This window comes from Homo sapiens, chromosome 9, assembly GCF_000001405.40.
Source record: "Homo sapiens chromosome 9, GRCh38.p14 Primary Assembly".
Taxonomy (NCBI): Eukaryota; Metazoa; Chordata; class Mammalia; order Primates; family Hominidae; genus Homo; species Homo sapiens.
This window is the reverse complement of record NC_000009.12, coordinates 15,577,435-15,592,853: the sequence shown is the minus strand read 5'-3', so window position 1 is coordinate 15,592,853 and position 15,419 is coordinate 15,577,435. Positions and strand designations below refer to the sequence as shown.

Below are 15,419 nucleotides of genomic sequence, written 5' to 3'. Positions count from 1 at the left end.
CCAATAGCCTAAAATCAAACCACAATTCTCCTAAGTAGCTAATTGAGATCAGATCAAAATCTTCTACCTTCAGGTGCAAGCTGACTGGCTGAAGAAATACTGCCACCATCACCCTCCTCTCCACATAACTCCAAAACATTTTATGTGGGGAAGGTTATACAGGCCCATCCAAGGACTTGTAATATCAGTTACCACCGAAACCTCCCCCATTCACACACTAATGGAGCCCTTCTGCATGCCAGCTACTGTTCCAGGGTCTAAGAATACAGTAGTAAACAAAAGAAACAAACTATGACTACTGATGTGGAAGAAATCAAAAGTAAATTTGCTGACAATGACAACATCTGGGAATGACTGTGCGAAAACTTTTACAGTTTTTAAATGCTTTTGTGTAATTAATTTTAGTAAAGACACATTTCCAGAATTCAAAAAAGCCATTTACACCAATGGTAAAGGTAGAACATTTTTATCACCGTTTTTTTTTCTTTGTTTTGTTTTTTTGCTTTTTTGGGGGGAGACAGGGTCTCACTATATTGCTCAGGCTGGAGTACAGTGGCTATTCATAGGCCCAATCATGGTATACTGTGGCCTCAAACTCCTGGCCTCAAGTGATCTTCCCACCTCAACCTCCCTACTAGCTGGAACTACAGGCCTGCACCACCATACCTGGCTTTGTCATGTAATTTTTTTTTTTTTTCATTTAAACTGTTACTTCAAAAAAAATGGCAAATATAGACAACTCAAAATCTACCTTTTAAGTCACTGGCAACTTCAACCTTATATCACTTTTACTTTAGGGAGTAAAAAGAGAACAAAAAATGAGGGAATAAATAGCTCACAATTTTAGGAGAAGTTAAATATGTTACATATCATGTTTATACAAAACATGCTCTACATAGATAATGAAGCTCATATCAAACATACAAATATTTTTCTATATTTATTGTATATTCAGACCAAAATCCAGGGCCCATATTTCTAAAATTCCAAATGTTCATATTGCTAGACAAAAAGAGCTGTAGATTCTTAGCTTCTTACAATATGCCCATATAAGTGCTTTGTTGGCTTTTAACATTTTGATTAGCGACCGCAAACCGTTTTTCACCCCAAAAAGTATACCTATTAATATACTCCAAAAGAGACCAGCAAATATGCCCCTAAAAAAGAAAAAATGGGAGGGAGGAAGGAAGGAGGAAGGAAAAAGGAAGGAAGGAAATCCAGGATAACTTCAAGTAATGTACAACACATCTCGGTGAATATTACATATCGGAAAATTCCTTTATAAAAACTATTTTACCTGTAGAGTTTTCTCTAGTCTGCTTTTTTCTTTCATAAGTAAATCATATTCTCGATTGCAATTTTGGATCATATTGTCTCTTTCCTCCAAATCATGTTCAAATCTTCTGCATTCTTCTTTCCATTTTTGCTGAGAAGTCTGAAATGCTTTCTCAGTCTCATTTGTCTTTGCTTGAAGTTCTGAATTCTGTGCTATTAAGAATAGAATAATAGGTACATTTACAACCATGAATTAAATAACAAGGAGCCCCAAAACCTAGGCATTGGAGTTGACATCATTTACAGCATGATCTTAGGATAAAACATTTAACCTTTCCATTACAGTAAACTCTTGAAAACCTTTCCATTCCGGTAAATTCTTGAAAAGCTCACAGTCTCTAAATCAATCTATTCTATAATTTTCGATCTCTTCTTCCCCTTCAGACAATGATGATTTTGCTATGAAACAGTGTGACATATTTCTGAAGGCATATCCAAGTTTAGGTGCACTTCTAGCACCAGCTGCAACTCTATTGGTTTTTGTCCTATTCAAGAAAACAAACCAGCTGAGTGTGGTGGTACACACCTGTAATCCCAGCTACTCTGGAGGCTGAGGCGGGAGGATCACTTGAGCCTAGGAGTTCAAGACCAGCCTGAACAACATAGGGAGACCTCCTCTCAGATTTAAAAGAAAGAAAAAGAAAGAGAGAAAGAAAGAAAGAAAAAAGAAAGAAAGAAAGAAGAAGAAAGAAAGAAAGAAAGAAAGAAAGAAAGAAAGAAAGAAAGAAAGAAAGAAAGAAAGAAAGAGAAAGAAAGAAAGAAGAAAAAAATCTATTTTTAAGACTGTGATATATAGGGCAAGTTTTTAAAAAGAGTAGATTACAAATTTTTATATTTGACTATTGACAACAAACTAGTTGTAACACATCTTACACAAGGGTCACAAAGCTGAGGCTGGAAACCACTACCCCAACCCTTAGAACTGTAACTATTTACTTTGCCAGATTTAGGTGCAACTCACCTCCTACCCGATTACCTCAACAATAACCAACACCTATCAACACACTAACACTGCTGCTCTGTTTCAGCACCTAGAAAAGAAGGAAATGCTTCCAGGTCTGGCTCCATCACCTGCCACTTATTAAACCTCCCTGATTCTCTGATTCTCACTAGAAATAAGAATGTCCCTAGTTAAGTTTTTGTGAAGATAAAATGAGGAAATGTTTATAAAAACACATGTTAAAAGATGCCACAGCTATATTAGCAGTATTTCTAAATTATATTTCTTTGCATTTTGAATCAATCATACATTCAAAATGTTCAAAATACAAAGGTATAAAAGGTACAAAAGGAAATACATTAAAAGTCCCCCTCCCATTCAGCTGCCATCTCCAGAAGACATTCTTCCATGGTCTCTCATCCAGCATTGCAGGAAAGTAGTTTGAGGCCATTTTGACTCCTGATCCTTTGCATTTGACCTATTTTTCTTTTCTCGTGAAAGCTTTAGAATCTTCTCTGTCTTTATTTTTCTGAAATTTCATAATGCTATGCCTGCAGTAGGTCTACTTCTTTCCATAACGGTAAATATTCAATAGACTCTTTCAATCTGGTAATTCATGTCCTTTAGTTCTGAGATGTTATCTTGAGTTATTTTCATTGATGATTTATCATACATTTCTGTTTTCTCTCTTACGTCTTTCACTATTCCCTATTATTCAAATTGGTCCTCAAATTTTTTCATCTCTTCTCTCCTATTTTTCTACCTCTGTCTTTTTAATTCTAATTTCTGGGAGGTTTCTTCCATCTTCATCTTCCAGTGCTTCTAGGGACATTTTTCATTTCTGCCTTCATATTTTTAATTTGTTAATTTTTTCAAGCCAAACTGTATCCAACTTTATTAATTATATTTTTCACAAACAATAATGGTATTGTAGGCAGGTATTTCAATTAACAGTATACAACTTTCAAACCCTCTTCTTCAAAGGACTACCAAAATCAGAAAGCCACTATAAACCCAATGAAGTCCTCATTTGATGTTCTCAACAGAGAGTTTAGAGTGGGGGTTGACATTTCACATTAACATGTTGTTTAACAACTTTTCACAAGCAGACTCTGACTTTTAGGAAGTGAAATGAAAATGGCAGGATTTATCTAAAGATCTACAATCTAGAAACAGAAGGGCTGCTATTTTGAGGAGTGCCATCTCAGTGGTGTCATTGGAAAGTCCAGATTGCCTGATACACTGGCAACCAATTACTGGGAGTCAATCCCAAGAGATGTCTGGGCTTAAGGGAGTTAAGTCTATGCTGAGGATGGAAGGGAGAAGAGGACATAAAAACAAATTTGTTTTTCCACACCACAAGGTGTTTGTGCCAAGGTGGCTATGTGTGTCAATATCAGGGAATCTCTCCTCCTGGAAGCCAAGAAGAAGTCTCTCAAAACTAGAAGGGAAACGTGTTTTCCCCCCATCAATCCACTTCAGAGACATTCTAGTAGTAACACATGTCCCTTCCTCAAAAAACAACGACGTTTTCTGTGGGGCAACAACATAGCTCTAAAAAAAAAACACGGCTGGGTGCGGTGGCTCACGCCTGTAATCCAAGCCCTTTGGGAGGCCGAGGCAGGCGGATCACAAGGTCAGGACATCGAGACCATCCTGGCTAACACGGTGAAACCCCATCTCTACCAAAACAAATACAAAAAATTAGCCGGGCGTGGTGGCGGGCACCTGTAGTCCCAGCTACTCAGGAGGCTGAGGCAGAAGAATGACGTGAACCCGGGAGGTGGAGCTTGCAGTGAGCCGAGGTCGTGCCACTGCACTCCAGCCTGGGTGACAGAGTGAGACTCCGTCTCATAAAAAAAAAAAAAAAAAAAAAAAGTCTGCATCTTCATAAAACTTGGTTGAAAAATATTTCAAACTGTATAGTCACCAAAAGTGCACAGTTATCAAAAATGCACACATTTCACTTGGCGTCTCCAGCACGCTGAGCTTCCTGTGCCTGGTCTGTTTTGGCATCTCCATTTCCTGCAGGATTCTTCCCCTCCTTGTAAGCATCAGCTTTTCCCTTTGGGTACCTTTTCTCCCTTCTTTGCAGGGGCAAAGAAGGCTTTTTGGGCTTGCGCTCTGGCTTTGAAGGAGCAGGTTTAGCAGACAACCTTGCAGATCTTCTCTGTAGCTTGGCTTTATCTCCTGTAGCATCCCCTTCAGGCTTTCTCTTGGGCATGGTGGTAATGCTGCTAAGACGTAGCACCAGATGCAGGGATGCAATGGCGTGTGGGCTTTGGTCAGTCCGGGGGTCCTTCTTGCCTCTTCTTCCCACTGCTTCCATATTTTTAAATTCTTTGAGACAGAGTCTCACTCTCTCACCCAGGCTGGAGTACAGTGGCGCAATCTCGGCTCACTGCAACCTCTGCCGCCCAGGTTCAAGTGATTCTCCCACCTCAGCCTCCCGAGTAGCTGGGATTACAGGCACTTGCCACCACGCCTGGCTAATTTTTGTATTTTTAGTAGAGACAGGGTTTCACCATATCAGTCAGGCTGGTCTTGAACTTCTGACCTCATGATCCACCTGCCTCGGCCTCCCAAAGTGCTGCGATTACAGGCGTGAGCCACCGCGCCTGGCCTCATATTTTTAATTTCTAATAGATTTCATCTTTTATAACACCTGGTTCTTACTTCATAGATGAAATATATTCTTTCAGATCTGAGGAAATTAATGCTACTTCTTTTAAATGTTCTCCCTGCAGAGCCTCTGTTTCTTCTAAGTTGATTTCTTCTCTCCATTTTAAAGGGTTTCCTCATATATCTGGTAACTCTTGGTTGTCTACTCTCATTAAAAGTTAGAAACTATAAATGTAATACAGTTTATACACTAATATACCCACCACCTAGAATCTGAGCTTCAAGGTGGACGTTAACAACTTTAGTCTTCGCTGGAGAAGGATCTGGATGGCTCATTTATTGGGAAACCTCCAACATCAGTATCATTAGGTTCTTCCTCCTGGCTTTGTATTCGTCTGTTTTTTTGGATAAAGACATACCTGAGACTGGGCAATTTACAAAAGAAAGAGGTTTATTGGACTTACAGTTTCACATGGCTGGGGAAGCCTCACAATCATGGCAGAAGGCAAGGAGAAGCAAGTCATATCTTACATGCATGGCAGCAGGCAAAAGGAGAGCTTGTGTAGAGAAACTCCCATTTTTAAAACCATCAGATCTCGTGAGACCCATATCACAAGAACAGCATGGGAAAGACCCACCCCAATGATGCAATCATCTCCCACTGGGTCCCTCCCATAACACATGGGAATTATGACAGCTACAAGATGAGATTTGGGAGGGGACACAGAGCCAAACTATATCAGCTTGGTCAGGTGATACACAAAAGAGTCCTCCAACATCCGGCATAGAGTGTAGAAATCCAGGTGTTAGCTTTTGGGGAAGTCAATATATAAAGGAAGCTGGGGGCTGAGCATGGTGGCTCACACGTGTAATCCCAGCATTTTGGGAGGCCAAGCTTGGAGGATTGATTGTGGCCAAGGGTTTGACACCAGCCTGGTCAACATGGCAAGACCTAGTCTCTACAAAAAAAAATTTTTTTTAATTAGTCACGTGTGGTGGCATACACCTATAGTCCTAACTACTCAGGAGGCTGAGGTGGGAGGATGGCTTAAGCCCAGGAGTTCAAGGCTGCACTGAGCTATGACCACACCACTGCCCTCCAGCCTGGGCAACAAAGTGATACTCTGTCTCTAAAAGTAATAATAATAATTAATTAATTAATTAAAGGGAAGCTGGAAGGAATGGCTCCTCAATATTCAGCATTCAGAATCTTCCTGGTTTTGCCAGTCAAAAGACTCTATTTCGCCATCTCCAGGGATTAAACCTCCTGACTTCCACTAGCAATTCTTAAGTAATCCCAGAGTAGCATGCTCTTGGAAGGAAATCTAAGGACCTATCTGCCTCTCAAACAGCTTTCATCTAACCCTACTTATTTTACTCACTACTGCTACTCCCATACATAATTCCAATGGTATCTGGTGCTTCCAGTTTATAAGCCTTTTGACTAAGAATTTCTCTTTCGGTTTTCCCCACTCCTGACTTAGGATTTTAACATCTCTCTAACTCAGTTATTCCTCATCCATTTGCTTTCCAGCTTCCAAAATTTTCTCTCTTGTCACACCCCCTGTTCTCTCCATTGTTATGGGATTATCTCATAACTGCATTAGGCTTTTTACACTACCCTCAACATTTCACTATAAAAATTTTAAAAACACAGAAAGTTGAAAGTATTGTGCAGTGAACATCCATATATCTACAACCTGGACTCTAGGATTGTTAACATTTTGCCATATTTGCTTTATCAGATATTCATCCATCCTTCAATGCATGCATTCATTTATCCACCCAGCAGTCCATCATACATTTTATGCATTTCAAAGCAAGTTGCAAACATCAGGACATTTCACTCCTAAATAGTTCAGCATGTATATCATTAATTAGAATGTAATATAGTTTTATTTTTTTACAGATAAAATGTACATCTAGTAGAATGCACAAATCTTTAGTGTACTGTTCAAGGAGTTTTTCGTTTTGTTTTTTTGAGACAGAGTCTCACTCTGTCATCCAGGCTAGAGTGCAGTGGTACGATTTCAGCTCACTGCAACTTCTGTCTCCTTGGTTCAAGTGAGCCTTCTGCCTCAGCCTCCTGAGTAGTTGAAATTACAGGCGTGCACTACCATGCCTGGCTAGTTTTTGTTTTTAGTAGAGATGGGGTTTCACTATGTTGGTCAGGATGGTCTTGAATTCCTGGGTTCAAGCGATCCACCCGCCTCCACCTCCCAAAGTGCTGGGATTACAGGTGTGAGCCAATGTTCAAAGAGATTTTATGAATAAATACATTCATGTAACCCAAACACCTATCAAAATACAGAACATTTCTTTCAACCCAAAAAGTACCCTCATACTCTTTCCCAGTCAAATCCACTGCCAACCCACCCTGCAGAGGCCATCACTGTTTAGATTCTTTTTTTCACCAATGATTAGCTTTTCCTATCCTAGAACTTTATGTTAATGGAACCATACAGGATGTCCTCTTGAGTGTAAAGTTTCTCTCACTAAGCATGTTTTGGAGATTCATTCATGTTACCGCATACGTTAGTGGTTGCTTTCTTCTTATTGTTGAGTAGCATTTCATTATATAACACAAATTGTTTCTTCATTCTCTTGTTAATGAATGTCTTTTTCCCCAACTTTGGACCACCATGAATGGAGTTGCTAGGAAATTCTTTTACAAGTCTTTTTTGGACAAAAGTTTTTCTTTCTCATGGGGAAATAATAAAGAGTGAAACCACTGGCTCATAAGATAAATCCATGTTTATTTTAAAAGAAACGGCCAGGTTTTTTTCTAAAGTGGCTGTATCATTTTACACTCCCATTAACAAAAAATATGAGTCCCTGTTGCTCTATATCCTCACCAATATTTGGTATTGACAATCTTTTCAATTAGAGCCACCTGATAGGTGTTTAGTAACATCTACTATGGTTTTCATTTGCATTTCCCTGACAATAAGTGAGGTTACGCATTTTTCCTCTGATTAATAGTCATCTCTCTATCTTACTCTGTAGAATGTCTGTTGAAATTGTTTGACTCTGAGCAAGTAACTTCCCATCTTTCCAGGACTTCACTTTCCTCATGGTTAAATGAAAGTCATGAACTTTCATATCTAGTGCCTTCCAATTCTTATATTCCTAAATTCCAGGTAGTCGTGTAACTATTATTAAACACCAAAGGTAATTACTGGGGCTCAGAACACAATACCCCCAATTATGGTGGCTTGGTATGCTGAATATTTTTCACTTGCAGAAGACAGGAGGGCCTCAGAAGGAAGGTTACTCTGACTTCCTGTCTTCTACCCTTCTTTCTCCCCAAAGCAAGATATAAAATCTAGAAAGGTCGCCTCTCTGACCTACTACCTCTGAAAGTAGGTCATGGGGCCCTCATGTGATCTATCACCTGGAAGAAAGAAATGCTACTGAACAAACAGGCTTGCTGGGTTTCCCACTCAGTTTATTACATTGGAACATATACTTTTGTCCAGTCATATTTCTCCACAACTATCCACTTCTTTCATCAGACTTAACACAAAAATACGGTTTTCCCTGGTTCTTTGCGTCTTCATATCTGGAGGCTCCCATGTCATCTAAAACTTTGTTAAATAAATTTGTTATGGTTTTCTCTTGTTAACCTGTGTTTTGTTATAGGGTTGTCAGTTGTAAACCTTGCATGGGTGAGTAAAAGATACTACTTTTTCTTCTCTACATAATCAAAAATACTTCTGACCAATATCAATAACCCCAGACAGCTGAGCAAAACTAAGGATCTTAACAGTTACAAAATTATACCTTAACATGCCGGGCACGGTGGCTCACGCCTGTAATCCCAGCACTTTGGGAGGCCGAGGCGGGTGGATCACAAGGTCAGGAGTTCAAGATCCGCCTGGCCAAGATGGTGAAACCCCGTCTCTACTAAAAATACAAGAAAATTAGCCGGGCGTGGTGGTGGGCACCTGTAATCCCAGCCACTCGGGAGGCTGAGGCAGAGAATTGCTTGAACCCGGGAGGCGGTGGTTGCAGTGAGCCGAGATCGCACCACTGCACTCCAGCCTGGGCGAAAGAGGGAGACTCCATCTCAAAAAAGAAAAAAAGAAAATTATATCTTAACATTTCTTTAGCCCCATGAAGTTAACAAAAACACTTTTTTTTTTAATCAAGGACAATTTTTTTCACATTTTATTTTTTATTTCAATAGTTTGGGGAACAGATGGTGTTCGGTTGCAGGCAAAAGTTCATTAGTAGTGATTTCTGAGATTCTGGTGCACTCATCACCCAAGCAGTGTATGCTGTAACCAATGTGTAGTCTTTCATCCCTCACCCCCATCCCGTCCTTTCCACAGAGTCCCCAAAGTCCATTATATCATTCTTATGCCTTTGCATACTCATAGCTTAGCTCCCACTTATAAGTGGTTTTCTATTCCTGAGTTACTTCACTTAGAATAATGGCCTCCAGCTCCATCCAGATTGCTGCATATGCCACTATTTCGTTCTTTTTATGGCTCAGTAGTATTCCTTGCTGTATATATAGCACATTTTCTTTTTTTTTTTTTTTTTGAGATGGAGTCTCGCTGTCACCAGACTGGACTGCAGTGGTGCGATCTTGGCTCACTGCAACCTCTGCCTCCCAGGTTCAAGCTATTCTGCCTCAGCCTCCCAAGTAGCTGGGACTACAGGCGTGCGCCACCACACCCAGCTAATTTTTGTATTTTTAGTAGAGACGGGGTTCCACCACCTTGGCCAGGATGGTCTCAATCTCTTGACCTGGTGATCTGCCCTCCTCGGCCTCCCAAAGTGCTGGGATTACAGGCGTGAGCCACCGCGCCCAGCCTATACCACATTTTCTTTATCCACTCATTGGTTGATGGGCTCCTAGGCTGGTTCGATATTTTTGCAATTGTGAATTGTGCTGCTGTAAACCTGCGTGTGCATGTGTCTTTTTCATATAATGACTTCTTTTCCTCTGGGAAGATACCCAGTAGTGGGAATGCTGGATCAAATGGTAGTTCTACTTTTGGTTCTTTTTTTTTTTTTTTAATACTTTAAGTTCCGAGATACATGTGCAGAATGTGCAGGTTTGTTACATAGGTATACATGTGCCATGGTGGTTTACTGTACCCATCAACCCATCATCTACATTAAGTATTTCTCCTGATGCTATCCCTCCCCCAGCCCCCCACCTCCTGCCAGGCCCCAGTGTGTGATGTTCCCCTCCCTGTGTCCATGTGTTCTCACTGTTCAACTCCCACTTATGAGTGAGAACATGCGCTGTTTGGTTTTCTGTTCTTGTGTTAGTTTGTGGAGAATGATGGTTTCCAGCTTCATGCATGTCCCTGCAAAGGACATGAACTCATCCTTTTTTATGGCTGCATAGTATTCCATGGTGTATATATGTGCCATATTTTCTTTATCCAATCTATCATTGATGGCCATTTGGGTTGGTTCCAAGTCTTTGCTATTGTGAACAGTGCCACAATAAACATACGTGTGCATGTGTCTTTATAGCAGCATGATTTATAATCCTTTGGGTATATACCCAGCAATGGGATGGCTGGGTCAAATGGTATTTCTAGTTCTAGATCCTTGAGGAATCGCCACACTGTCTTCCACAACAGTTTAACTAATTTACACTCCCACCAACAGTGTAAAAGCATTCCTATTTCTCCACATCTCCTCTCCAGCATCTGTTGTTTCCTGACATTTTAATGAACCCCATTCTAACTGGTGTGAGATGACAACTCATTGTGGTTTTGATTTGCATTTCTCTAATGACCAGTGATGATGACCATTTTTTCATATGTTTGTTGGTTGCATAAATGTCTTCTTTTGAGAAGTGTCTGTTCATATCCTTTGCCCACTTTCTGATGAGATTGTTTTTTTCTTGTAAATTTGTTTAAGTTCTTTGTAGATTCTGGATATTAGCCCTTTGTCAGATGGATAGATTGCAAAAGTTTTCTCCCATTCTGTAGGTTCCCTGTTCATTCTGATGATAGTTTCTTTTGCTGTGCAGAAGCTCTTTAGTTTAATTAGATCCCATTTGTCTATTTTGGCTTTTGTTGCCATTGCTTTTGGTGTTTTAGTTATGAAGTCCTTGCCCATGCCTATGTCCTGAATGGTATTGCCTAGGTTTTCTACTAGGGTTTTTATGGCTTTAGGTCTTACGTTTAAGTCTTTAATCCATCTTGAGTTAATTTTTGTGTAAGGTGTAAGGAAGGGTTCCAGTTTCAGCTTTCTGCATATGGCTAGCCAGTTTTCCCAACACAATTTATTAAATAGGGAATCCTTTCCCCATTGCTTGTTTTTGTCAGGTTTGTCAAAGATCACATGGTTGTAGATGTCTGGTGTTATTTCTGAGGGCTCTGTTCTGTTCCATTGGTCTATATATCTGTTTTGGTATCAGTACCATGTTGTTTTGGTTACTGTATTCTTGTAGTATAGTTTGAAGTCAGGTAGCGTGATACCTCCAGCTTTGTTCTTTTTGCTTAGGATTGTCTTGGCAATATGGGCTCTTTTTTGGTTCCATATGAACTTTAAAGTAGTTTTTTCCAGTTCTGTGAAGAAAGCCAGTGGTAGCTTGATGGGGACAGCATTCAATCTATACATTACTTTGGGCAGTATGGCCATTTTCACAATATTGATTCTTCCTATCCATGAGCGTGAAGTATTTTTCCATTTGTTTGTGTCCTCTCTTATTTCCTTGAGCAGTGGTTTGTAGTTCTCCTTGAAAAGGTCCTTCACATCCCTTGTAAGTTGATTCCTAGGTATTTTATTCTGTTTGTAGCAATTGTGAATGGGAGTTCACTCATGATTTGGCTCTCTGTTTGTCTGTTATTGGTGTATAGGAATGCTTGCAATTTTTGCACACTGATTTTGTATCCTGAGGCTTTGCTGAAGTTGCTTATCAGCTTAAGGAGATTTTGGGCTGAGATGATGGGGTTTTCTAAATATACAGTCATGTCATCTGCAAACAGAGACAATGTGACTTCCTCTTTTCCTTTTTGAATACCCTTTATTTCTTTCTCTTGCCTGATTGCCCTGGCCAGAACTTCCAATACTATGTTGACTAGGAGTGGTGAGAGAGGGCATCCTTGTCTTGTGCCGGTTTTCAAAGGGAATGCTTCCAGTTTTAGTTCTTTAAGGAATCTCCATACTATTGTCCATAGTGATTGTACTAATTTACATTCCCACCAGCAGTGTAAAAGTGTTCCCTTTTTACCACATCCATGCAACATCTGTTATTTTTTTATTTTTAAATTATGGCCATTCTTGCAGTAGTAAGGTGGTATCTCATTGCGCTTTTGACTTGCATGTCCCTGATAATTAGTGATATTGAACATTTTTTCATATGTTTTTTGGCCATTTGTATATCTTCTTTTAAGAATTGTCTATATATGTCCTTTGCCCAGTTTTTGATGGGATTATTTGTTTTTTTCTTGCTGATTTGAGTTCCTCATAGATTCTGGATATTACTCCTTTGTCAGATGCATAGTTTGTGAATATTTTCTCCCAGTCTGTGCTGTCTGTTTACTCTGCTGACTATTCTTTTGCTGTGCAAAAGCTTTTTAGTTTAATTAGTTTTTTAGTTTAATTTTAGTTTAAAGATCTATTTATCTTTGTTTTTGTTGCATTTGCTTTTGGGATCTTGGTCATGAACTCTTTGCCTAAGCCAATGTCTAGAATAGTTTTTCCAATGTTATCTTCTAGAATTTTTATGGTTTCAGGACTTAGATTTAAGTCTTTGATCTTGAATTGATTTTTATATAAGGTGAGAGATAAAGATCCAGCTTCACTCTTCTACATGTGGCTTGCCAAGTATCCCAGCACTACTGGTGAATAGGGTGTCCTTTCCCCACTTTATGTTTTTGTTTGCTTTGTCAAAGATCAGTTGGCTGTAAGTATTTGTCTTTATTTCTGGGTACTCTGTTCTGTTCCATTAGTCTCCATGCCTGTTTTTATACCAGTACCATGTAGAACCAGGACCTAAATCTAAATCTGAATTCACATTCAGTGTTCTCTTAATTAAAACCTGCTGTGTACAAGAATGTTCATAGCAACATTATTGTTAATAATCAAAAATTGGACACTACTCAAATGCCCATCAATAATAAATGGATAAATATAAGTGTGGAATGTTTACACAATACTACACATCAATACAAAGCTCTCATACAATATGCATGAATTTCAAAAACATAATGTTGGAGGAAAAAAGCCAGAAAAAAAAGAATATATACTTTATGATTCCATTCATATAAAGTACAAAAAAGTGGCAAAATTAATCTACACTATTAAAAACCAGTATAGTAGTCATCCATGTAGAAGGGCTTTTGATCATTTTCTGGTCCCTCATCTGGGTGCTTGTTATGAGTGATATCGCTATCTAGGCACATTTATTTTTATATATTATATGTAAATAGAAAGGCTTTATTTAAGTCCAAGGGCTACATAACACATAGCTTTTGAAGATTAAATCCAGTGACTTTTTCTTTTCCAGGCACCACACTCTAGCCCAGTGATTTCTAAACCTGGCAAAATCAATGAAAGAGGCAGTGCTTCTTGAACATATAGATTCTCAAGCTAGAGATTTGGATTCATATTATATGTGATGGGGAGCCTGGAGTATATGTTTAAGACAAACAAAAATCCCTTTGTGATTCTGTTGATTATTCATGGAAGAAGTGCTTCTAAAAAGTGACTTAAGAGAATTTTGAACTCCTTTTTCCATATATGCACAGCATAAAAAAATCAATGTAAAGTAGATAAATGTTCACAAAATTGCCAGAAGACTTTTTATACATACCCAGCTAAGTCTGTACATCAAAAGTCAGTCAACGAATCAGAATCTTACCTCTGACCCTGTATGGGATGTACACACAACAGCGAGGAGTGATATACAATCAGGTTACAACCCTAAACTTGGGAAGAAATAGAAACAGTCTTACCACAGAGTTTTTCTTGGATCCTATGTGCCTCGGCTAATCTTTCTTCAGCAGCCCGTCTTCCAAGACCAGCTTCCTTTCTAGCAACAGCTAGGTCATATTCCAGACTTTGTCGCAATGCTTCTCCCTTTTCAACCTCGGACCGTAGCTTGGCAATCTGGCTCTCATAGCTTGCCAGCTAAAAACAGATTCCTGATATCAACATGTGTCCAAAGATTATGAGATCATACACTCAAACATTTAAGTTTCTTAGAGAAACTTGTTTCCATAATATATACAAGGCAAAAATTTATAAATTTATATATTCTGAATCACTGGAAAGAAAGCACTACCTTACAAAATGACACCCATTATGTTTTTTATTTTAGAGAATCCACTAGAGGAAAAAAAAAATCTTATAAGAACTTTTTATAAAATTAAAGATAAATTACGTTTTAATCAGAAATAGTCACACCTTGGCCAGGCACGGTGGCTCACTCCTGTAATCCCAGCACTTTGAGAGGCCAAGGCAGGAGGATCACTTAAGCCCAGGAGTTCAAGACCAGCCCGGGCCACATGGGCAGACCCTGTCTCAATAATAATAATAATAATAATAATAATAATAATAATAATAATAATACAAAAATTAACCAGGCATGGTGGTGTGCACCTGTAGTCTCAGCTACTCAGGAGGCTGAGATGGAAGGATTGCTTGAGCCTGGGAGGCAGAGGTTGCAGTGAGCAGAGACCATGCCACTGCACTCCATCCTGAAGGACAGAGCAAGACCGTCTAAAAAAAAAAAAATAAAGAAAAGAAAATATTCATACCTAAAAAACAAACAAACAAAAAAATGCATGATACATACTAAGCACTTAAAAATTCATTCTTTCCTCTCCTCCTTCTATTCCCTAAATGGAACCAATAAACAAATTGCATCAAAGTATAGTTTAATAAATATTGTCTGTATTATTTCTCTTGATTATGATATCACTGATCATAAAGTAATAAAAGTGCCAATTTTGCAGGGATTTAAATGAACGAATATCGAATTTGTGATCCTTCCAAAGTAGCATGACAGAAGGTCAGAGACAACTGGCTTCTCAATAGGCTTGATCAATGAGAGGCACATGTGGAATGATTGACAGCAGGAGAAGTGAAGATGCCAAGTTATTTCTGCCTTTCTAGATCTACCTTGAGCAGTTATCCCTCTCTTGCCTGTGGCTGCAAATCCTTATGGATAGTCCCTCCTTCCATGGGCCTTGCTTTGTCCAGTTCTAGCTCTAATCAACCTTGGGAATAGAAGCAGTTCTTAATGTTGGGTTGTCTTAATCTCCTCTAGTTGTCTTTTCCACTTTTCTGGTACCTGTGTAACCAATACCCGCTATTAATGTCCCTTTGTTTTAAGACTTAGAATGGTTTCTGTTTTCCTAACTAAACACCCAGTAATATTGCTCTTGGTATCAGAAATTGTCTCAAGATGGGTTTATAATATTGGCTGGCTAATATATTTAAGCCTGAACACAGTGAAAGCCTCTTTGCAGGTAGAAATGGGATTCTAGTGATCTACAGCATACAGTGGGATCACAGTTCTTTAAATTATGGTGTGCAGTTG

General features: G+C 39.1%; 1 protein-coding gene and 1 pseudogene across 34 annotated transcripts in view; both read right to left on the bottom strand.

The window, feature by feature from the left end:
* CCDC171 (coiled-coil domain containing 171) overlaps nt 1–15,419 on the bottom strand; it is a 556,042-nt gene that overhangs the window by 516,073 nt on the left and 24,550 nt on the right. For 32 of the 34 annotated variants that reach the window (XR_007061261.1, XR_001746227.3, XR_001746228.3 and 29 more), the window contains 2 exons: nt 13,831–14,005; nt 1,298–1,488 (listed from right to left, as the gene is read on the bottom strand). Coding sequence is in view for 29 of the 34 variants with exons in the window: in XM_047422930.1 (XP_047278886.1) it covers nt 1,298–1,488; nt 13,831–14,005 (366 nt within the window). In the remaining 5 variants the exon portion in view is untranslated. Of the gene's footprint in view, nt 1–1,297; nt 1,489–5,160; nt 5,323–13,830; nt 14,006–15,419 lie in introns of those variants that run through there. The other 2 variants (NM_001348002.2, XM_017014440.2) reach the window with 2 other exon arrangements.
* On the bottom strand, nt 4,130–4,619 carry HMGN2P16 (high mobility group nucleosomal binding domain 2 pseudogene 16; annotated as a pseudogene).